General features: G+C 37.6%; 1 protein-coding gene across 1 annotated transcript in view; it reads left to right on the top strand.

Moving 5' to 3' along the window:
- SUCLA2 (succinate-CoA ligase ADP-forming subunit beta) overlaps window positions 1–24944 on the top strand; it is a 58618-nt gene that overhangs the window by 20521 nt on the left and 13153 nt on the right. The window contains exons 5-6 of the mRNA NM_003850.3: window positions 7361–7489; window positions 12020–12158. Of these exons, the coding sequence (NP_003841.1) occupies window positions 7361–7489; window positions 12020–12158 (268 nt within the window). The remainder of the gene's footprint in view (window positions 1–7360; window positions 7490–12019; window positions 12159–24944) is intronic.

The raw sequence follows: 24944 nt of genomic DNA, 5'->3' as shown, positions 1-24944 counted from the left end.
GGTCTATATGTCTGTTTTTTTATGCATTATCATGCTGTTTTGATAACTGTAACCTTGTAATATATTTTAAAAGAAGTGTGAGGCCTCTAGTTTCTTTTTTTTTCTCGAGATTGTTTTGACTGTTCTGGGTCCTTTGAGATTATGTATGCATTTTAGTGTATTTTTCTATTTTTATAAAAAAAAGCCATTGGGATTTTGATAGAGATTACATTGAATCTGTAGATTGCTTAGGGTAGTATGCACAGTTTAACAATATTAAGTCTTCCAATCTGTGATCACAAGATGTCTTTCCATTTGTTTGTGTCTTTTTATTTTTATTTTATTTTTTATTTTTTTTTGAGATGGAGTCTCACTCTGTCACCCAGGCTGGAGTGCAGTGGTATGATCTCAGCTCACTGCAACCTGCATTTCCCGGGTTCACACCATTCTCCTGCCTCAGACTCCCGAGTAGCTGGAACTACAGGCTCCCGCCACCACGCCCAGCTAATTTTTGTATTTTTAGTGGAGATGGAGTTTCACCGTGTTAGCCAGGATGGTCTCGATCTCCTGACCTCATGATCTGCCCGCCTCAGCCTCCCAAAGTGCTGGGATTACAGGCGTGAGCCACCGCGCCCTGCCTGTTTGTGTCTTCTTTAATTCCCTTCAGCAGTGTTTTGTAGTTTTTGGTTCATAAGTCTTATGCCTCCTCGATTAGGCTATCCTTAAGTATTTTATTCTCTTTGATTTTAACTGGAATTATTTCCATAATTTCCTTTTCACATTGTTCACTGTTACTGTATTAAAAGGCAACTTATTTTTGTTTGTTGATTTTGTATTCTGCAACTTTGCTGAACTGATTTATTCTAAGAGTTTTTTTTGTGTGTGTGCAGAATCTTTAGGGATTTCTACATATGACAACATCTCATCTGCAAACACAGAATTTTACCTTTCCTTTTCTCTTTGGATGCTTTTTATTTTTCTTACCTGTTTTCTGTGTCTAGGACATCTAGTGCTGTGTTGAACAGAAGCGGCAAGAGTGGGCATCCTTGCTTTGTTTCTGATGTTAGAGGAAAAGCTTTCAGCTTCTCATTTTTGTGTATGATGTTGGCTGTAAGTTTTCTTTTTTATTTTTATTATTATTATACTCAAGTTCTGGGATACATGTGCAGAATGTGCAGGTTTGTTACATAGGTATACACGTGCCATGGTGGTTTGCTGCACCCATCAACCTGTCATCTACATTAGGTATTTCTCCTGATGCTATCTCTGCCCTAGCCCCCCACCCCCCGACAGGCCCCGGTGTGTGATGTTCCACTCCCTGTGTCCATGTGTTCTCATTGTTCAACTCCCACTTATGATGAGAACATGCGGTGTTTGGTTTTCTGTTTCTGTGTTAGCTTGCTGAGAATGATGGTTTCCAGCTTCATCCATGTCCCTGCAAAGGATATGAACTCATCCTTTTTATGGCTGCATAGTATTCCATGGTGTATATGTGCCACATTTTCTTTATCCCGTCTATCACTGATGGGCATTTGGGTTGATTCCAAGTCTTTGCTATTGTGAATCATGCCACAATAAACATACTGATTTATAATCTTTGGGTATATACTCAGTAATGGGATTGCTGGGTCAAATGGTATTTCTGGTTCTAGATCCTTGAGGAATCACCACACTGTCCTCCACAATGGTGGAACTAATTTACACTCCCACCAAAAGTGTAAAAGTGTTCCTGTTTCTCCACATTCTCTCCAGCATCTGTTGTTTCCTGACTTTTTAATGATCACCATTCTAACTGGCATGAGATGCTATCACATTGTGGTTTTGATTTGCATTTCTCTAATGACCAGTGATGATAAGCTTTTTTTCGTATGTTTTTTGACTGCATAAATGTCTTCTTTTGAAAAGTATCTGTTCATATCCTTCTCCCACTTTTTGATGGGGTTGTTTTTTTCTTGTAAATTTGTTTAAGTTCCTTGTAGATTCTGGATATTAGCCTTTTGTCAGATGTATAGATTGCAAAAATTTTCTCCCATTCTGTAGGTTGCCTGTTCACTCTGCTGATAGTTTCTTTTGCTGTCCAGAAGCTCTTTAGTTTAATTAGATCTCATTTGTCAATTTTGTCTTTTGCTGCCATTGCTTTTGGTGTTTTCGTCATCATGAAGTCCTTGCCTATGCCTATGTCCTGAATGGTATTGCCTAGGTTTTCTTCTAGGGTTTTTATGGTTTTAGGTCTTACATTTAAGTCTTTAATCCATCTTGAGTTAATTTTTGTATAAAGTGTTAGGAAGGGATCCAGTTTCAGTTTTCTGCATATGGCTAGCCAGTTTTCCCAACACCATTTATTAAATAGGGAATCCTTTCTTATTGCTTGTTTTTGTCAGGTTTGTCAAAGATCAGATGGTTGTAGATGTGTGGCGTTATTTCTGAGGCCTCTGTTCTGTTCCACTGGTCTATATATCTGTTTTGGTACCAGTGCCATCCTGTTTTGTTTACTGTAGCCTTGTAGTATAGCTTGAAGTCAGGTAGCGTGATGCCTCCAGCTTTGTTCTGTTTGCTTAGGAGTGTCTTGGCTTTATGGGCTCTTTTTTGGTACCATATGAAATTTACAGTAGTTTTTTCTAATTCTGTGAAGAAAGTCATTGGTAGCTTGATGGGATACCATTGAATCTATAAATTATTTTGGGCAGTATGGCCATTTTCATGATATTGATTCTTCCTATCTATGAGCATGGAATGGAATGTTTTTCCCTTTGTGTTCTTTCTTATTTTCTTGAGCAGTGGTTTATAGTTCTCTTTGAAGAGGTTCTTCACATCTCTTGTAAGTTGTATTTCTAGGTATTTTATCCTCTTTGTAGCAATTGTGAATGGGAGTTCACTCATGATTTGACTCTTGTTTGTCTATTATTTGTGTATAGGAATGCTTATGATTTTTGCACATTGATTTTCAGTTTCTCATTATTGTGTATGATGTTGGCTATGAGTTTTCTTATATGGCCTTTATTATATTGAGGTTGTTTCCTTCAGTCTTTGTTGAGTATTTTTATCGTGAAAGGGTATTCAATTTTGTTAAATGCCTTTTATGTATCAATTGAGATTATTGTGGTTTTTGTCCTTCATTCTGTTAATAGCATGTATTACACTGAATTTTTGTATGTTGAACCATCCTTGTATTCTAGGAGTTAAGTCCCACTTGATCATGATGTAAAGTCCCTTTAATGTGTTGTTGAATTCAGTTTGCTAGTATTTTTTGAGTTTTTTTTTCATCATTATTTTTTCAGAGCTATTAGCTTGTAGTTTTCTTTTAATACCTTCTGATTTTGGTATCATGGTAATGCTGGCTTCATAGAGTGAGTATGGAAATTTTCCGTCCTTTTCAATTTTTTGAAAAGAGCTTGGGAAAGATTGGTTCAGTTCTTTAAATGTTTGATAGAATTTTCCAGTGAAGCCATTTGGTCCCGGGCTTCCTGTTGCTTAGAAGTTTTTGATTACTGATTCAGTATCATTACTAGTTATAGAGCTGTTCATATTTTTTATTTCTTTATGATTTTGAAGATTGTTTCTAGCAAGTTATCAATGTCTTCTAGGTTATTCAATTTGTTGATACATAATTTTTCATAGCAGTCTCAGACTCTTTCTGTGACAGCTGTAATGTCTCCTTTCACTTCTGATTTTTGTTATTTCAGTCTTTTCTATTTTTTTATAGTTAAAGGGTTGTCAATTTTATTCACTTTTTCAATGAGCCAATATGCAGTTTTGTTGATTTTTTTTTTTTCTGTTCCTTGTTTCTTTTATTTCTGCTCTAATCTTTATGATTTTCTTCCTTTTGCCAACTTTGGGTTTAGTTATTCTTTTTCTAGTTTCTTGTGGTATAAATATAGGTTGAGCATCCCAAATCTGAAATTCTGAAATCCAAAATGCTATAAAATCCTAAGCTTTTGGAGCACTGACATGACACTTAAAGGAAATGCTCATTGGAGCATTTTGGAATTCAGATTTTTAGATTTGGGATTCTCCAATGGTAAGTATAATGCAAATATTTCAAAATTCAAAGAAATCCAAAATCTTCTGGTCCTAAGCATTTCAGATGAGGAGTACTCAACCTGTTAAAAAATCAGGAGCTGGGTGTGTTTTCTTAGTTGTAGCAAGCTGTGTCAACTTCCCTCTGGGATGTTACACATTTTCTGGTACTGCCATGAGCCTGTGTACTCTCCTTTGTTCTCGATGCCCCACAGGCATCCAGAGTATGCTGGTTCCCCATCAGCACCCATATCAGTTGAGACAGGAAACAGTCCCTTGGACAGCCCTCCAAGAAGCTGGAATGTTGAACATGTGTTCTACTCTTCTCTTTCTCTCCCAATGGAGAAGCTTCTTAATCCCAAACTATGTTAGTTTGGAGTGGTGGGGGGAAGGATGCTGATGTGGATAAAATGAAATGGCTTTTCTTACTGATTTCATTGCAGATGTTCTTGGCTTTGAGCTTACCTGGGGTACTGTGACTTCCTAATTGGTTACTGTCATTGTCATAAAAGGTTTTTGGATCATATATTGTTGCTAAAGTCAGTGTTTTTGTCAGGGAGCAAGGTCTTGGGCTTCCTATTTTGTCATCTTGCTGACCTTGGTGTCCAGAGTTTTCATTGGGGTTCTATGGTGTAGGCATTAAACAAAAATTTTTTTTTAATTTTAAATTTTTGTAGAGACAGGTTCTCACTATGTTGCCCAGGCTGGTCTCGAACTCCCAGACTCAAGCAGTCCTCCTGCGTTGGCTTCCCAAAGTGCTAGGATTACAGATGTGAGCCACCACACCCAGCCTGGGTATCACTGATTGAATCATTGTCTGTGCAGTTGACTTAGCCCATTTCTTCTATGCAGAGTGGGTTGATACAATTTGACTGAAAGCCCCAAACCTCTAATCACATTGTCAATCTTTCTGGCATGGCCATTGCCCACCTGAGTCATCTCCTTAGTGTAAACTGTCTAGGGGCCCACCATGCGGCTCCTTGGTCGCATCAACTATCAGATGTGGTTGGAGGGTTTAGAAGTTACTTCCAAGACCCTGGGGACAAAAGTCATCCGAATTCCTTGTTACAAATGTATACAGAAATCGAATACATGGTACAAAATCATTTTTTTCCTAAATAAAAGTTTAACACTCTTAAAAAAGTGATAGATTCTTCTTTTTAATTTTTGTTATTGCCTTATTTTAAGTATTTGAAGGACTGTTTCGTTCTCTAAACAGTAATGAATGCAATCCTATTCCTTTAATTTATACTTTAAATGAGTATGTTACTAAAACACTAAGTGCTAGGATAGAAAAGTGGAATTAGGCTGGGCATGGTGGGTCATGCCTATAATCCCAGCACTTTGGGAGGTGAATCACCTAAGGTCAGGAGTTCGAGACCAGCTTGGCCAAGATGGTAAAACCCTGTCTCTACTAAAAATACAAAAATTAGCTGGGCATGGTGGTGCATGCGTGTAATCCCAACTACTTGGGAGGCTGAGAGAGGAGAATCCCTTGAACCTGGGGGGCGGAGGTTGCAGTGAGCTGAGATCGCATCATTTCACTCCAGCCTGGGTGACAGAACGACACTCCAGATAAAAAAAAAAAAAAGAAAAGAAAGAAAGAAAAGTGGAATTAGTCTTTTGATTAAAAAAAAAAGTTGTCATGCCTGTTTTTTTTTCTGGATGTAAGAGTAGTATGTTCATTGTAAAAAAATTTTATTTGGAAAATAGTTGCATTTAAAATAACAAAAGTCTTTTAATGTTTTATTTCCCACTCTTTTATTGTTTCTGTCAATATGGAGCACTTGAAACGCACTTTATGTTAAAAAATAATACAATTGAGAAAACGACCTAGGGCTTTGTATCATTTTTTTCATACGTAACACTACATGTACACATACACTACATTACCCACTACAGATCAGTAGTTTCCTGTCAGTAAACAATCTTTAAATGCAGTTTTACTATTTCTCTTTTTTTCATGTTAACATTATTTCTAGTTTAATGCATAAATTAGTAGATCTATTAGATAATTTATGATTTTTTCTTGATTGATTTTCAAGGCCTTAAATGTTAATAATTGTTAGTATTGATACCTTACCTTCTCATATTGTTCATGACAATAGCCAGAGCTATTCTTTCAAACTAGTTAGCTCTCTCTTTTATTTATTGTATTTTACTTTTTTTTTGAGACAGGGTCTTTCTCTGTCCCCATGCTGGAGTGCCATGGTGTGATCACAGCTGACTGCAGCCTTGATCTCTCAGTCTCAAGCCATCGTCCCATTTCAGCCTGCTGTGTAGCTGGGACTAAAGGGGCATGCCACCATGCCTGGCTAATTTATTTGTATTTTTTGTAGAAATGGAGTCTTACTATGTTGCCCAGGCTGGTCTTGACTCCTGAACTCAAGTAGTCCTTCTGCCTTGGCGTCCCGAAGTGCTGTGATTACAGGTGTGAGCCACTGTGCCTGGCCAGCTTTCTTTTTTATTGTCTTGCAGTAGGGCTAGAGCTTAGACTTTCCCTTTTCTTAGGCTTTTTCTTTCAAATATCTGTTTTCAGGATTTTCTAGTGTTTATGCTTTAAGCAATACTTTTAATGTCCCCTCAGTTTTTATGAAAAATGCATAGGTTATATTTCACATACATATGTTTACATATTTGGTGTTAAGTTTTTTTTCTTTTTTTTTTTAATTATACTTTAAGTTCTGGGATACATGTGCAGAAAGTGCAGGTTTGTTACATAGTTGTACATGTGCCATGGTGGTTTGCTGCACCCATCAACCTGTCATCTACATTAAGTATTTCTCCTAATGCTATCCCTCCCCTTGCCCCAGCCCCCTGACAGGCCCTGGTATGTGATGTTCCCCTCCCTGTGTCCATGTGTTCTCATTGTTCAGTTCCCACTTACGAGTGAGAACATGTGATGTTTGGTTTTCTGTTCCTGTGTTAGTTTGTTGAGAATGATAGTTTCCAGCTTCATCCATGTCCCTGCAAAGGACATGAACACATTCTTTTTTTATGGCTGCATAGTATTCCATGGTATATGTGCCGCATTTTCTTTATCCAGTGTATCATTGATGGGCATTTGGGTTGGTTCCAAGTTGTTGCTATTGTGGTATAAGTTTTTGTGTATATTTTAAATCTATTTTCCTTGCAGGCAAGCCATTATTTTCTTCTTTTTTTACTTTTTTATCCATTGCTTTAATTGAATATTTATAAGAGGGCACTGTGCTGGAGATGTGAGGATAAATTCTCAAGAAAATTTTAAAATGTGGGTAGAGAGTAATAGATGCTTACATCTGATATTATGCACGGGTAGGTTTTAAAGTTTCATTGATGAGTCTAAAATAAATCTAGAGTTTTGGTTGTTTACTTCCCTTGCCAGGGTCCTGTATTAATAGGAAGTTCACATGGTGGTGTCAACATTGAAGATGTTGCTGCTGAGTCTCCTGAAGCAATAATTAAAGAACCTATTGATATTGAAGAAGGCATCAAAAAGGAACAAGCTCTCCAGGTATGTTGTATTCCTGAAAAATTTCTAGCTTATGATTAGAGAATTATGATACTTAAAGATAACCGTACAACTGAAGTAATTGTCAAAACTTATTTAAACATTTTGAGTGTCAGGAAAGTTAATAACTTGTTTGAAATAGCTCATTTTGGAATTATTTACAATTTTTTCATATCTCTATAAATATTTCAATGTGGATTCTTTTAAAAGAGTCACTGGCCGGGCACGGTGTCTCACGCCTGTAATCCCAGCACTTTGGGAGGCCAAAGTGGGCGGATCATGAGGTCAGGAGTTCGAGACCAGCCTGGCCAATATGGTGAAACCCCCGTCTCTACTAAAAATACAAAAAAAATTAGCCGGGCATGGTGGTGCGTGCCTGTAGTCCCAGCTACTCGGGAGGCTGAGGCAGAAGAATCGCTTGAACCCAGGAGGCGGAGGTTGCAGTGAGCCGAGATTGTGCCACTGCACTCCAGCCTGGGCAACAGAGTGAGACTCATCTCAAAAAAAAAAAAAAAAAAGAGTCACTATACCATTACCCTATCTAGTAAAATTAACAATAATTTCTTTTCTTTTCTTTCTTTCTTTTTTTTTTTTTTTTAAGACGGAGTCTTGCTCCGTCACCCAGGCTGGAGTGTAGTGGCGCCATCTTGGCTCATCACAACCTCCGCCTCCCAGGATCAAGCAATTCTCCTGTTTGAGCCTCCCAAGTAGCTGGGACTACAGGCACCTGCCAACACACCTGGCTAATTTTTTTGTTTTTAGTAGAGATGGAGTTTCATCTTGTTGATCAGGTTGGTCTCGAACTCCTGACCTCAGGTGATCCACCCGCCTCGGCCTCCCAAAGTGCTGGGATTATAGGCGTGAGCCAGCGCGCCCAGCCAACAATAATTTGTTAGTATCATCACTTAGTCATTCAAATTTCTCTAGTTGTTTCAAATCAATTTTTCATTTACAATTTGTTTGAGTCAGCATCCAAATACGGTTCTTCATTGTTATTTTATTTATTTTCTTTGAGATGGAGTCTTGCTCTGTTACCTAGGCTGGAGTGCAGTGTTGCCACCTTGGCTCACTCCAACCTCTGCCTTCTGAGTTCAAGCTATTCTCCTGCCTCAGCCTACCGACTAGCTGGGACTACAGGCGCACGTCACCATGCCCGGCTAATTTTTGTATTTTGTTTTAGTAGAGATGGGGTTTTGCTATGTTGGCCATGCTGGTCTTGAACTCCTGACATCAGGTGATCCACCCTCATCGGCCTCCTGAAGTGCTAAGATTACAGGCGTGAGCCACCGCGTCCGGTCCCTTCATTGTTGTTGACTGATAAGTCTCATAGGTCTTTTATAACTTACAGGTTTCTCTTTTTTGCTGTCATCTTTTTTCTTTCAGTTCAGTTGTTGAAGAAACTGAGGTGATTATTATTCATTGTTTTTCGTAGTCTGGATTTTATATCTCCATGGTTTAAGTGGTTAAACATTTAAAATATTCCTGTGTCCCCTTTATTTTCTGTAAATTGTGTAGAATGGATGGGACACTGTCTTATATATCTCCATAATAGAGCTGTGGTTTATGAATGATTTTAAGAATTCGATGAACGCTGTGGTCCTTCTTTCAATTCTTTCAATTTGTATGTGTTCACAATAAAATTTTGCCTACAGTTTTACTGGTTTTCTCTATTGTCCTTGTGTGCTGCTTCCCCTCCATTCTTCCCCCCACTAAAAAAAAGCCCCCATTGAGTTTAATATTAAGGCCTGTGAGAGTTGCTTGGTAATATTTGTAATGCTGCTATCGAATTAAATTGTTTGCTTTGGATATAAAAATAAGTGACTCATCTTTTCGTTTGTTTGTTTTTGAGATGGAGATTCTTGCTCTGTCGCCCAGGGTGGAGTGTGCAGTGGCGCAATCTTGGCTCACTGCAACCTCCGCCTCCTGGGTTCAAGCAATCCTCCCACCTCAGCCTCCCAAGTAGCTAGGATTACAGGCATGCACCACCATGCCCAGCTAACTTTTCATTGGTATTTTTAGTAGAGACAGGGTTTCACCATATTGGCAGGCTGCTCCAGAACTCCTGACCTCAAGTGATCTGCCTGCCTGGGCCTCCCAAAGTGCTGGGATTACAGGTGTGAGCCGCCGCGCCTGGCCTAATGACTCACCTTAAAAGAAGAATTTGAATATTGGACTTCGAAGTTAAACATTTCTTTTTTTTTATTATTGATTTTTATTTTTAGTTTTTTTTTGAGACGGAGTCTCGCTCTGTCGCCCAGGCTGGAGTGCAGTGGCGCGATCCTGACTCACTGCAAGCTCTGCCTCCCGGGTTCACACCATTCTCCTTAAACATTTCTTAATGAGAAAACTATGTCAGAATAAGTTTGTGGTATTGAAGTACAGCAAGTGCAAGAATTATTTTTTTTTTGAGACGGAGTCTTGCTCTGTTGCCCAGACTGGAGTGCAGTGGCATGATCTTGGCTCACTGAAACCTCTGCCTCCCGGGTTCAAGCGATTCCCCTGCCTCAGCTTCCCAGGTAGCTGGGATTACAGGCGCCCGCCACCATGACCAGCTAATTTTTGTATTTTTAGTAGAGATGGGGTTTCACCATGTTGGCCAGGCTGGTCTCAAACTCCTAACTTCATGATCTGCCCACCTCGGCCTTCCAAAGTGCTGGGATTACAGGCGTGAGTCACCGTGCCCAGCCAAGTGCAAGAATTTTGACCGGCACAAAGTTTTAAGGAGATAAATGTTTCTGATGGAGAATAAAGCAAATTGATTTTGGCAAATGAATGATATAAATGTTTAAAAGGCATGGATTTGATTTATTAGGTAGTTACGTGAAGATGATGACTGGAGAGTGAAATTTAGATGAGGAAGAAAATACTTGATTTACAAGAATACATGGAGGAATAATCTAAGATTATAGCATTTTGCATGATGGTGATGAGTGGAAATAGAGCCTAGCATTAGAAAATTGATGTCATAATGGATTGATCAGAATTACTTTGTAGTTTTCAAATGTTTAAGCCTAAACATTTGGTTTTAGTTTTTGTTTTTTTAGGTGAGTTGTGACATAGTGAAAAACTTTCATAATAAAATGGTACTTTCATATTATTCTTTATTTGAAATAGGTCAAAACAAAAGATTACATTCCTTAGTGCTTTTTTTTTTTTTGTGGGGGGGAGACAGAGTCTCACTCTGTCGCCCAGGCAGGAGTGCAGTGGTGTGATCTCGGCTCACTGCAACCTCCACCTCCTGAGTTCAAGCAGTTTTTGTGTCTCAGCCTCTCGAGTAGCTGGGATTACAGGCATGCGTCACCACACCTGGCTAATTTTTGTATTTTTGATAGAGACAGTGTTTCACCATGTTGCCCAGGCTGGTCTCAAACTCCTGGCTTCAAGTGATCCGCCCTCTTTGTCCTCCCAAAGTGCTGGTATTACAGACTTGAGCCACTGCGCCCAGCCTACATTGTTTAGCTTGATCATTCACTTTACTTATTGGCATTTGACTCTTTGCAAATATCTTCTTCATCTTCAAAGAATTTAAGATTTTTTGTTATTGAAAATCAAAAGAATGTGTTACAACCTTAGATAGCAACTGAAAAAGAGGAAAGAATTCTCTATAGGGTTCCTGAGCAGTGGCAGCACTGTTAGAATAAACACATAGACATGTATCCTCTGTACCAGTGGTTCAGAATTGCTCATGGAACTTGAAACATGATAGATGCTTGATCCAGTAAAAAACTTGTCAACCAGAACTTCTGAGTTGGGACCTTGATATTGTATTGTTTAAAAGCTCTGTGGGTATCTCTATTTGGGAATCCCTCAAGACTGTAAACTCTTTTATTATAAAGTTAAACATCTTTATCTTTTGGGCCTAGCACAGTGCCTGGAATGTAATAGGTGCTTGGTAGATTTTTGAATAAATGGGATAACACTCATTTGACTGTATGACATGTATTCTTATTGCTTGGTAGACACTCTTTATAAATTATACAAAAGGTAAAATAGGGTCTTCTAATATTTTGGCTTTTCTTTGGACCATAAGGGTTGTCAGTCCACATTTTATATTTTTAGTAGAGATGGGGTTTCACTGTGGTGGCCAGGCTGGTCCGTAACTCCTGGCCTCAAGTGATCTGGCCCCTCAGTCTTTCAAATTGCAGGCATTACAGGTGTGAGCCACTGTGCCCGGCTCACATTTTATATATAGTTTTAATAAAATATAAACCTCTTCTTTCAGCTTAGGTTGGCAGTAAAGCTTAGGCAGTATGGACACTATGGAACTGGAATCTAGGCCAATGAATGGCAAGTTACTTGATCTCTCTGAATCTCTTTCTTATCTATAAAATGGGCATAATATCTATCTTTTGAAGATTTTGAATAAAAAGTTTTGTTTAACCATTTAGTAATGGTAGCTGCTATTTCAGTAATGTTTGACTATAAATGACTCATGTTTATCATTTAAGTGATAAACTACAAGGCTTTTTATTTATAGTAATGTTGATTAGACATATGCAAACTACCTATAATAAAAAGACATATTGATTTCAGCTTGCACAGAAGATGGGATTTCCACCTAATATTGTGGAATCAGCAGCAGAAAACATGGTCAAGCTTTACAGCCTTTTTCTGAAATACGATGCAACCATGATAGAAATAAATCCAATGGTGGAAGATTCAGATGGAGCTGGTAAAGTATCTTCTTTTGTCTAACATGATTATGCATTTATTTCTCTAATATGCTTCCCTAAGGAAGTTAAATCATAGAAGTTAAAGTAGTTAAACTTCTACCTATGTAGAAGCTTTTTAAAAAAAAATCAGATAGAATGAATATGAACAAATATTAAACCCATTAAAACAAAACACTATTAGACCCATTAAACAAACAAACAAAAAATAAAACAAACACCTTATAGAGACGTGCACAGAGGGGTCGGAACTGTACTGTCCAATACAGTGACTATCAGCCACACGTAGTTATTAAAATTAATTAAAGTTACATAAGATTTAAAAATTCATTTACTCAGTTGCACTAGTCATGGTTCAAATACTCAATAGCCAAATGTGGTTACCATATTAAAAGAGCACACACACAGAACATTCCCATCATTGCAGAAGGTTTTATTGGGCAGTGCTGGGTTAGTGTATGCAGTGTGGTGGTGATTGAGCTGTAATTTTATGGAATTAGCTATCTGGATATATAGATTGCATACTATATACATTTTGCATCTTTCTTTATTCACTTAATAACATATCCTGGGGAACTCTTTATGTATATGGGGTCTTTATATATTAGGGATGTCAATCTTTTTTCTGACATTTGGTGTGAATCTTTTTCTGAGATTGTCCTTTATTGTTTAATGTTATTTGATTTTTGGGGAAATATTTTTGTTTTTGCATGTACTCAAATCTCATTACTTTTTTTTTTTTTTTTTTGAGACTGAGTCTTGCTTTGCTTTGTCGCCCACACTGGAGTGCAATGGCGTGATCTGGGTTCACTGCCATCTCCACCTCTTGGGTTCAAGTAATTCTTCTGCCTCAGCCTCCCAAGTAGCTTGGACTACAGGCATGCACCACCGCGCCTGGATAATTTTTTTTGTGTTTTTAGTAGAGATGAGGTTTCACCATGTTGGCCACGCTGGTCTTGACCTCCTGACCTTAGGTAATCTGCCTGCCCCTGCCTCCCAAAGTGCTGGGATTACAGGCGTGAGTCACTGCGCCCAGCCGAGTTCCATTACTTTTATGCTGAGAGATTTTTTTATTCTCCATCTTAAGATCAGTAAATATTCATCCTCAATGTGTTCTGTTTTTTTCTTTTGGGTCAGTTTAGTTAGAGATGTTCTATTTTTTAAATTGTTTCATTTTTACTTTTAAGTCTTTAATCAATTAATATTTTACTTTAGCTTTACTTTTAGTTTTTTAGAGTATCTTATTCTACTTTTAGTAATGCTAAAGTAAAGGTTCTGCAGTGAGAACTTTATTTTCTTTTTTTAAGCTTTCTAGTAAAACTAAAATTAGATTAAATTGCCTTCACTAGATGTTCCTTATGCCCCTCTTCCCCCAACTTTTTAAAAATTTAATGGGCTACCCAACATTTAGAAAAACACTTTTTTAATCCAAATACTGATTTAAAAAACCTTAATACTGAGTCACAAATTAAAAAGTTTCAGCAGATATCCAAGAATTTATAACACAGATAATGATCTGTAAACACAAAGCAATAACATTGGAAATTAATATAAAATATTATATTTTTAAATTTTTTGAGACACGGTCTTGCTTTGTTGCCCAGGCTGGAGTACGCTGACACAATCACAGCTCACTGCAGCCTTAAACTTCTGGGCTCAAGCGATCCTCCCTCTTCAGCCTCTTGAGTAGCTGGGACTACAGGCCCATGCCACCACCATGCCTGGCTAATTCTTTTTAAAATTTTTTGTAGAGACGGGCCCTCAATATGTTGCCTAGGCTCATCCAACGCATGTACTCAAGCCATCCTCTTACCTCAGCTCCTGAAGTGCTGGGATTAAAGGTGTGAGCCATCACACCCAGCCTATTTTTTTTTTTTTATTTAAAGAAAATACTTGAAAATAATTTCTGAATTAATGAAGAAATAATAATGGAAATGAGAAAATATTTCAAACTGAACAACTGCAAGGAATGTAGGAATTGTGAGGAATACTCATTATCAAAGGGGTCAGTTTCTTAATATTTAGGTTGGTGCAAAAGTAATTGCAGTTTTTGCCTTTTTTTTTTTTTTTTAAAAACGGCAATTACTTTTGCACCAGCCTATCTAACTTAAATGTAATTATCTAAGGATTAACTAAAAACTGTCCAAGAACCATCCAAGAGTGGATCCTTATGCAATTTATATGGAAAGTAAAAGGATAAGAATTGCCAATTTTTTTCCTATTCAACAGCATTAATTTAATTTAATGGGTGATGTTTTGCTGAACTAAATCATTCCTTACTATGAATATGGTACCATGTGTGCTTTTTTCCCCTTACTTTTAAATTTTGATACAGAAATAAATACTATAAGGAACTCCTAAATACACTTTAGTCAACATTGCCGGTTGTTTACATTTCACCCTGTGTTTTATTCTCTTTCTGCTCTCTTTCTGTCTGTGTACACATGCATTTGTGTGTATAAAAATACAAATATATTTGGAACCATTAAGAGTAAGTTGGAGACATTGTTCTTCTAGTGTCTAAAAACAAGAATATTCTTTTCTTTTTTGAGACAGAGTCTTGCTCTGTCGCCCAGGCTGGAGTGCAGTGGTGCAATCTCGGCTGACTGCAAGCTCCACCTCCCGGGTTCTCACCATTCTTCTGCCTCAGCTTGCCGAGTAGCTGGGACTACAGGTGCTCACCACCGCATACGGCTAATTGTTTGTATTTTTAGTAGAGATGGGGTTTCACCATGTTAGCCAGGATGGTCTTGATCTCCTGACTTCGTGATCTGCCTGCCTCGGCCTCCGAAAGTCCTGGGATTACAGGCGCAAGCCAAGAACGTTCTCTTATATAACCTGACTACATTTATTAAAACCAAGAAATTTAATACTGAGAAAATATTATCTAATTCATAATACATATTCAAATGTAGCCAGCTGTCCTACTGATGTCCTTTATACTATTTTTCCCCAGGACCACCAGGATCACACATTGAATTGAGTTGTCACATCCATTTGACCTGGAACAGATCTGGAAGTTTGATTTATTTCTTGACCTTATTTTTTGTTGTTCCTGTTTTTCTTTGTTTTTTTTTTTTGTTTGTTTGTTTTTTTTTTTTTAAAGAAGGGGTCATTTATTTCATAGAATGCCCTTCAGTTTGTGTTTCTCTGTTTGATGTTCCCTCATGGTTTTTTTTTCCTTCATAGTGCACAATGTCAGGAGGTACATTATGTTGGTTTGTTCCAGTATTGATAATGTTAACTTGGCTCACTTGTTTAAGATCGTTTCCAGAAGCTTTTTTCATTATAGAGTCATTAGTTTTTCCCGTTGTAATTACTATGAAATTTGTGGGAAAATATTATATTCCTTGTCAAACTTTTACCCATTAGTTTTGGCATCTGCTGATGATTTTCTAACTACATCATTCCCTCTATATTTACTAGTTGGCTTTGTATTATACGGAAGAGCTTTCTCTTCTGCCCCATTCGTTTGTATCAGGATGGGCTCATCCATTCTTTAATCAATGAGTTATCCATTTTAATCCTTATTTTGTTACGCAGACTGTCCCAGATTTGGCCAGCAGAGGCCACTTTCAGGCTTGCTCCTGTGGCCTCTTTTTTTTTTTTTTTTAAATAAATGAAAAATTATAAATAAAATTATAATTTAACTTACAATATTGAAACAAATACAGACTTTCAGGAGGTTGTTAAATTAATAGTCTTGCATGCCCTTCACCCAGTGATGACATTTTTTTTTTGAGACGGGGTCTTGCTCTGTCACCCAGGCTGGAGTGCAGTGGCACGATCTCAGCTCACTGCAAGCTCCGCCTCCCAGGTTCATGCCGTTCTCCTGCCTCAGCCTCCCAAGCAGCTGGGACTACAGGTGCCCGCCACCACGCCCGGCTAATTTTTTGTATTTTTAGTAGAGACGGGGTTTCACCGTGTTAGCCAGGATGGTCTCGATCTCCTGGCCTTGTGATCCGCCCGCCTTGGCCTCCCAAAGTGCTGGGATTACAGGCTTGAGCCACCACGCCTGGCCCAATGATGACATCTTATTTAGCTGTATATACCCAAACAGTTAGTTGACATTGGTTCATTATTGTTAGCTAGACTAAATATTTTACTTAGTTTTCAACATTTTTTTTAACATTTTAAACCTGCAGTTATTTGTGTGTATATGTATAATTTTATTTAATTTATTCCATACATAGATTTGAGTAGCCACTACCACAATCAAGATACAGACTGTTCCATCAACACAGGAGACCTCTTTGCATTCACATTGTCTACCAATTCTTTCCTACCCTGTCCCTGTGCCCTGAAAATCACTAGTCTATTCTTCATCCTCTATAGTTTTTTTTTTATTTTGAGAATGTTATATAAATGCAATCATATAATATATAACCTTTTAAGGTTGACCTTTTTACTATACATAATGCCTTTGAGGTCTATCCAGGTTGTTGCATCTTTTTCTTTTTCATTGCTGAGTAGCATTCCACTGTATAGAAGTACCTGATTTCATTCAACCGTTTACACTTTGAAGGGTATTTGGGTTATTTCCGGTAGTTTTCTATTACCAACAAGCTGCTACAAACATTTGCAAGGTTTGTGTGACTGTAAGTCCTCCCTTTGTCCTTTTGATATGCCCATATTTTTATTTGAGCAAGCCTTTTACATTTTGTGCAACAAGATATTCCAGGATTATCTTCAGTTTTCCTTGTCACAGTTCGGCAATCCACCTTTTCTCCAAAGGACCCTGGCTTCTTTTTGTGGAAAACAATATTTATTAATAGGTACCAAGATAGACATACTACTTAATGCATATTGCTAATCTTGTGTCATTGCTTCCAGGCCTTTTCAACAAACAGAACCAAGAAGTATGTGTGTGTGTATGTGTATGTATATGTTTGTACACGTACATAAAAACACACCTATATTTATGTCTGTTTTTTTTTTTGTTTGTTTGTTTTGGGACAGAGTCTCGTTCTGTTGCCTAGGCTGGAGTGCAGTGGCGTGATCTCAGCTCACTGCAACCTCCGCCTCCCGGGTTCAGGCGATTCTCCTGTCTCGGCCCCCCGAGTAGCTGGGATTACAGGCACGTGCCACCATGCCTGGCTACTTTTTTGTATTTTTAGTAGAGATGGTGTTTCTCCATGTTAGCCAGGCTGGTCTCAAACTCTTGACCTCAGGTGATCCGCCTGCTTCAGCCTCCCAAAGTGCTGGGATTACAGGCGTGAGCCACTGCACCTGGCCTTCTATCTGTGTTTTTAAAAATCTCCAAATTTATACTGATAACTCTAATTCCACTTGAGTTCTTCAAGGTTCATTCTAGCTTTACCACTTTCTATGTTTATAATTTTCTTATTCAACATTTACATAAATGGTTTTTATTAGCTTCAATATAGTTATTCCTTTCGTTACCAAAACACCAGGGGTTTGGTCAAGGTCCTGCTGCGCAGACAGCCAATCACTGAGAAGTATTGCCAAAGAAGAAGGGTTTAATTGGGTGCTGCAGCTGAGGAGATAGGATCTCAGTCTCAAATCTATCTCCCTGACTGACTAAAACCAGGGGTTTATATGGCAGGGAAGAAACGTAACAATGTGTAAGAAAACAAGAACTAGGGAGGGGCAAGGAAGCAGTCATGATGAATACGTGGTAAGAGTCTCATTGTCTGGATGTGGTGATCTGGTGAGTTGCAGTTCTTCGATACATTTTTTTGAGAGGTCCCAAGGTCCCTTCCTGAGGAAAAACTCCTAAGTTTTAAGCTTTAAGACCAGAAAGGTCAATTTCTGTGTTTATCCAAAAGAACAGTCTATGGGACTGTTGGGTCAGTTTCAGTCTTCCCTTTCTATTTATCAGTTCCTCAATCATGAGGAATCCAGTCATTGGTCTTTCTGGCTGCTTCATGCTGAGGAAGGGTGTCATAGGCAGCTCCATACCATAGGTGACCATGTAGCCACCCAGGAATCAAAGTTTCATCTAATAGAGAGTTTCTTCTGACACATAATATTTCTCTCTCTGGTGTACCACTTCCACCAAAGACAAATCACAGCAGGATCTACCTGCAAAATAAGCTTCTACCAATCTACCTGCAAAATAATCTTCAGTCCCATATACTTGGCCTGATTACCCACACACAGTGCGACAAGAATCATTGCCCATAGATTCTTCCAAATTGGCTTTGCTGGAACATTTCACAAGGTCATTTGAGTCAAAGTCCTAGGAAAATAGCCAGTTCCTCTGGCTGTGTCCCATTACAAAAGAAAACAGGTTTTTATTAAATATATGCAAATAAACACATTTTCCATGAATTAAGAATATTCACAGTTTCCAAATTCTGGAGAAATTAGGCAGAGAGAGAAATATGCCTCAAATTCTACTTATTAAAGTATCCTCTACTCAATACACTTAAAGTATATATCAAGGCTATATATAGCTCAAAAGGAACATATTCTCCAGACTCTGAAAAACAAAAAACAAACAAAAGAATCATCAATATTTCAAACAAAAAAAGCCATAAAAATTATTTCAGTCTTCATTATTTCAGTCCATGCAATGAACTCCTGCTCTGCTTCATATTGGGTTAGCAATCTTTATAAACACATCAGCTCTTTAATTAGAGTCCTGAAAGGTCTCTCTAATCCAGGGGCACAAACTGCAAAGTTTTTAGAAACCTGCATTAAAGAATCCTTTTCATGAACTCCTCCAAAGAAGCAAGCCCTGGACCATAGGTGATTATAAGTCACTTTTTGAGGAGATTAAAAGCAATATATCAATTGTGGATGTTGAAAGTCATAAGACAGTCATAAAGACACAGTTGATAAGGATATTTGGTTACTTGTGTGGCATACAACAATTTAACATAATCATAATTACTACTGACAACATATATTAAGACACATCAGAATTTCAGGAATGTCGTAGAATCCTGGAATGCATATTAACAACATATCTAAATAAATATAACCCAAAGACAGTTAAATACTACCTCACATTTGATAATGCTTCCTGTATAATTCTAACATAACAAGCCTAATAAGCCTGATATATCTCTCTTGGATGTCAGGGAACCTAATATCCAAAAAAAATAGTTTGAGGTCAAAAAGACTGAATTTCGATCTTGAAATTTTGCTTATAGAAAGTTTGCCAAATATCAAAGTTTTAAGACACTTGTTATCACAAAATAGAATCACAAAGTCACTGTAAAATGTCATTCATTTAGCCAAAATTATACAAAAACATTTACTTTTTCATAGAGAGGAGACTAATTTTCCTAAGCAATAAGATGTAATAAAGATAGCATGCCAACTAAACCTGTCTGGCCCCCCCCACTCCATTTTCTCTTTGCAACTTACTCAGAAGGCAAACAAAATCTTTTATCTCTTAATATTACACAAACATTTTGTTCAAAAGCAAAAACCAAAATTTTCCTTTATATATTATTAAAGTTAATAAAACTATATAAACAAATCTATCTAATTTTAATCAGTTTGACCATAAGGTAAGATTTCCATAAACTTTTAATAACTGGCCCCAATTTTCTTTTTAAAGAGCATATCAGTGCTCCAAGAAAACCATGTTCTTCTAACACATAGACCCAGATGCTGGCCTTGCATCAGTGTGCTTTTGGTATTAATGTTTAATTTATAGAAAAACTCTGATCTTATCCCTCAAAATCGGCCTTTACAGTCTTACATGGCTACCTCTTCCGCAGTGATCCCTGGGCCTAGAGGGATTGAATCGTTTTAACTTCTGGCCCTGTGTCTCATAAAAGCAGTTCATTATGAGTGTTCATCTTCAAACCAGTGCGACACCTGCACATATTCTGTTTACAAGTACAGATGAAAGCCCATCATTGATAAACTTCTTGGGATCAAAAGTCACTAGAAAGTCTCTCTTTTTTTTTTTTAACTACTTAATTCAAATGAATGTCACTTAATTTTAATAATGGTCCACACAACTAAATTAGTTTGAAGAGAAATCCTAATCAATATAATTTCCTTAATGACAGGGCCCGTCTTTTCTGAACATTAAAACTTTGTACCCACATCACAGTTTTTCTTCATTAAATTATTGATTGAATTGAATTATCTTGGATATAAACATTTAAACATTTTTATTCTCCCCTACTTTTTCCAAATAACAGAATATATAATGTACTGTTCAGAACTTGTCTTTTATTATTATTTTTGTGTGTGTGCCAGAAATCTTAAAGCTCTTGTAGTTCTTTAGATCATCAGAGGTAAGCAAAATCCACCAAATTTTAAATGGCTGGTGTCCTCTATCAATTTTTAAAGGCTTGACCACAGTAGCTTAGGAACTTTAGATAAATAGGGCAAATTGTAGAACCAAACAAAAGCTTTCCATTAGAAACTTAAAAAGTTTACGGTTTTATATATATGTATACACAAGCAAAACCCACAGGAGAACAACAGCAAACAAATGAAAATTAGAAGCAAAAAACAAACAGGAAACCCAGCCCTCAATCTTTCCCCTACTCAGTCTACCCTGGAGGCTACAGTGTTACCCAGAACCTCCCAAAAAAACCACATGATGAATATTTTATTCCTGGTACACAATTCAATAACCTTAAGTCCACCAATATCACCATACATCTTGTGCAATCAAGAAATTCACTCTAGGCCCATGATCAGTAAATACTCCAGCAGTATCCATGCAAAACAGCTAACATAGTGTGAAGCAATGTAAGCATGTATGTGAAATATGGGTCCACACTAGATCTGGCTTCATGCTTAACTATTAAGAATTGCTAAATTGCTGATGCATTTCTTTACAGTATTTCTTATTTTACCTTCATCAAGACTAAGAGCTTTAACTATGAAATGTTAATTAGCCAAATTTCTCTCATTCTCAGGTTTTAAAGAATCTATTGTCTAAACTCTTCTGTGTTCTGTTTTCTCTTTTTGTGCATGAAGATAGACTATACACTGGAAAACCAGAAAAGCTACATATGACTTACACAGACCATCCATGACATGCCTGGGCTTTCCAATCAGTACCAGATTTTTTTCCTCTTCCTCCTCCTCCTTCTCCTGGGCTTTCCGATCAGTCCCAGATTTTCCTCCTCCTCCTCCTCCTCCTCCTCCTCCCCCCGCTCCCCTTCCCCCCTCCTCCTCCGCCCCTCCTCCTCCACCTCTCCTCCTCCCCCTCCTCCTCCTTCTCCCTCCTCCTTCTCCCTCTCCCTTCTTCTTTCTTATTTGTTTAAATAACATCATTTTACTCCAGGACAGCAAGATCTTTTCACATACAAAATTATTATCTTTATAACCTTCCTTACCAAAAATACATGATCATCATATACATAATTTTTTTCATACCTTTCTCCCCCACTTGTTTCCTTACTACCTTGTTTCATAAAAAACTTTTTCAAGCCCATAATTTGAATTAACTTTTAGATAACTTCTGAATTAAACAAAATTATTATTTTTCTCATAACATTTTTTGGGGCACATTTTTTAAACAGAATTATATCTTATCCTTAGTAACCTTAAATGTTAGTGAAACCCTAGAAAGCAGTCCTGAACTATATTAGCATTTTATAGATGAGAACAGTTCCACAATTTTTAGAAACGTATTTCCCTATATCACAACCCTTTCTTAACTGGAAATGACCCAGATATCCAATGAGCATCAAAAATAATTTCAAAATTTTAAATTACACAAGAAGTTTACCTAAAACATTTATCCCAATTACAAGTATTCAGTTCTTTCATTTTAAACAGTTTATCTAGATTACTTCTGAAAACATATATTAGATGCCATCATTTAAAGTTATTTCCTTATTAACCATTTTATAATCTATGAATATCAGTCATTCACTGAAATAAGAACTTTAAAGTTAACTACATAGGCATTTTCACCAATAACTATTTTCATTAAACCAATAACTTAATTACTCTTTTCAAAAAATTTGCACAAAGATCATTTTGTTTTGGCTGGGTTTATAGTTTTATAACCTTCTATGCCAAACCCTGACACCTCAAAATACCTACCAGAGACAAATATAAAATCCAGGCAAAAATGTATGCTGACAATTCTGAGGACGTTGCTATTTTCATTTTACTAACTATTTTAAAGCTAGCTTGTTTAGTAAAGATTTACTTAACTCACATGAACTTAAAAATTGCTTGGACTTAATTTATGAGTGCTCTTTTACTTATAAGCCAATTTGGTAGACACAACATATAACAATAAGTGTTCATACAAATAAACACATCTAGACATGTATGTATACACACACACAAATGAAAATCCAGTAGTGTTTACCTTGGAACTCTAGCCATGAGATAGCAATACAAACTCACTGATTTTACATGGTTACACTTTGTTTACTCCAATAGGTAATTCACTGAAAGCTGTGAACCAAAACTTTGGGTAAAGCAGTTTTCAGGGCAGTTTGATTTTCTAAAGGCCAAACCTCCCCAGACTCCAAAGAACACTGGGGCCAAACATCAGCAAAGGAGAACATCACATACTAACCAGGCTCAACCCTGCTTAGCGTAGCAGCACAAAAGTCTGGGTAACACACAACTCCATCCCACTTTTTCATTCAGCAGCAAACCCCAGATTCCAAACAACACTGGGACCAAACAGTATTGCAAAAGTGTATCATTTTACCAAATTCTAATTTCTCATGACTATATGAAACACAATCACCCAAACACAATCCAGCTGCTACAGCAACAAACAAGCCCCAAAAGTGTCCAAACTGACACACTTGAGGTGCTTCCTCTCTCCATTAGTTGGGCTTGGTCAACTGCAAACAAAAATTCCTTAGGAATTTCCCAAATTGAGAGGAGCTGATCCAACTGTCCGGTACCCACAAAGGACGCTCACTTGCCCGGACACAACACGCAATTACAGAAAAACCTCCAAGAATGTTCTTACTGAAACAGTTAGGGTGCTTCCCTCTCTCAGTCATTTGGGCTTGTTCAATCTACAAATGAAAATTCTTTAAAGATTTCCCAAAATGAGAGGAGCAAATCCTTATGTCTAGGCCCATAAGGGACACTTACCTATATCGATGCAATGTCAAGTTTCAAAGGCAGTTCTAATGAGGCAATCAGGAATGTGGTTGGGGCCGGCTGTGGTGGGGCCAGAGAGAGACTGACACTCACCTTCAGCCAAAACTGGGTGGGCAGCTGCTTAGGATGGCTTCTGAGACTCCCTGCCCACATCAGCTGAGTCACAAGCAACATGTTCCCTGTCAACTAACCAAAATCTGTTACGGAATCACTAGGGGTTTGGTCTAGGTCCTGCTGCTCGCCACACAGAAAGCCAATTACTGAGACAAGTATTGCCAAGGAAGAAGGCTTTAATCGGGTGCTGCAGCTGAGGAGATCGGAGCTCAGTCTCAAATCCATCTCCCTGACTGGCTAAAACTCGGGGTTTATATAGCAAGGAAAAAAATGTAACAATGTGTAAGAAAATAGGAACTAGGGAGGGTCAAGGAAGCAATCATGATGAATGAGAGGTCCAGAGTCTAGTCTCATTGTCTGGATGTGGTGATCTGGTGAGTTTCAGTTCTTTGACACATTTTTTTGAGAGCCATGAAGGTCCCTTCCTGAGGAAGGAACTGAGATAAAACAAATGTAAGCTTCAAGCTTTAAGACCAGAAAGATCAATTTCACTGTTTATCCAAAAGAATAGTCTGTGGGACTATTGGGTTGGTTTCAATTTGCTCATATATTTTTGTTGTTCTTTCCTACCCATAGATGAAGATTTACCAACATTGGCACTATTGACATTTTAGGGTAGGTTGATTTTTTTGTTGTTGTTATGGGAGGCTGTCCTGTGCTTGGTCGGATGTTTAACAGGATGTTTATCCAGTAGCATTCAGGTGCCAGTAGCAACCTCCATTTGTGACAAACAAAAATGCCTCCAGACATTTCCTGATGTCCCCTGTGGGACAAAACTGCCCCTTCTTGACATTTACTACTTTAGATTCAGATTTCCACGTTACATCCCTTGAGCCTGAAGAACTTTCTGTAGCATTTCTCTTAGCACAGGTCTGCTAGTGATGAATATTGTTTCCATTATTCTGCAAATATCTTTATTCTGTCCTTCTTTTGAAGTATATTTTCACTGGATATAGAATCTTGGCTTGATATATTTTTCTTTCATCACTTTTTTCCTGTCCCATTCTCCTTTTCTTCCAGTTTCACATTAGACTTCTTGATATTGTCCAAGAGGTCACTGAGGTGCAGTTTCTTTTTTCTTTTTTTTTCTTCCTGCAGATTGGATAATTTCTCTTTGTCTTCAGGTTCACTGACCCATCACCAGTCTGCTGTTAAGTTCATCCAGTGAATTTTTTATTTCAGATATTATACTTTTTAGTTCTGGATTTTCCATGTTGTTCCCTTGTTTTATTCTCTGCTTAGATTACCTGTGTGTTCATTTATTATGACCATATTTTCTCTTAAATCCTTAAACATGTTTTAAAAAGTTTATAATAGTCTTCTGATTATTCTAAATTTGGGTTACTGTGGGTTTGGTTTCAGTTGACTGTTTCTTCTCTTTACTAGTGGTTACATTTCCCCGTTTCATTACGGATCTAGTAAGTTTGACTCATACACTGTGCATTTTGGGAGCTATGGTGTAAAGACTGAATTCTGTTATCTTCCTCTGAAAGAATATTGACTTTTGGTATTAAGGGTACTTAACTTAGCTGGGCTCCAAACTTTTTCTCCTGTGTTGGGCAGCAGCTGAAATTGCTTGCTTCTTTCAACCCTGTATCTTTTCAGGAGCTGCAAGGAGAATGTTGTGGTTAGATTGGAGTGAGGAA

This window comes from Homo sapiens, chromosome 13, assembly GCF_000001405.40.
Source record: "Homo sapiens chromosome 13, GRCh38.p14 Primary Assembly".
NCBI classification, from domain to species: Eukaryota; Metazoa; Chordata; class Mammalia; order Primates; family Hominidae; genus Homo; species Homo sapiens.
The sequence above is the reverse complement of the archived record's forward strand: the minus strand, read 5'-3'. Positions and strand labels throughout refer to the sequence as shown.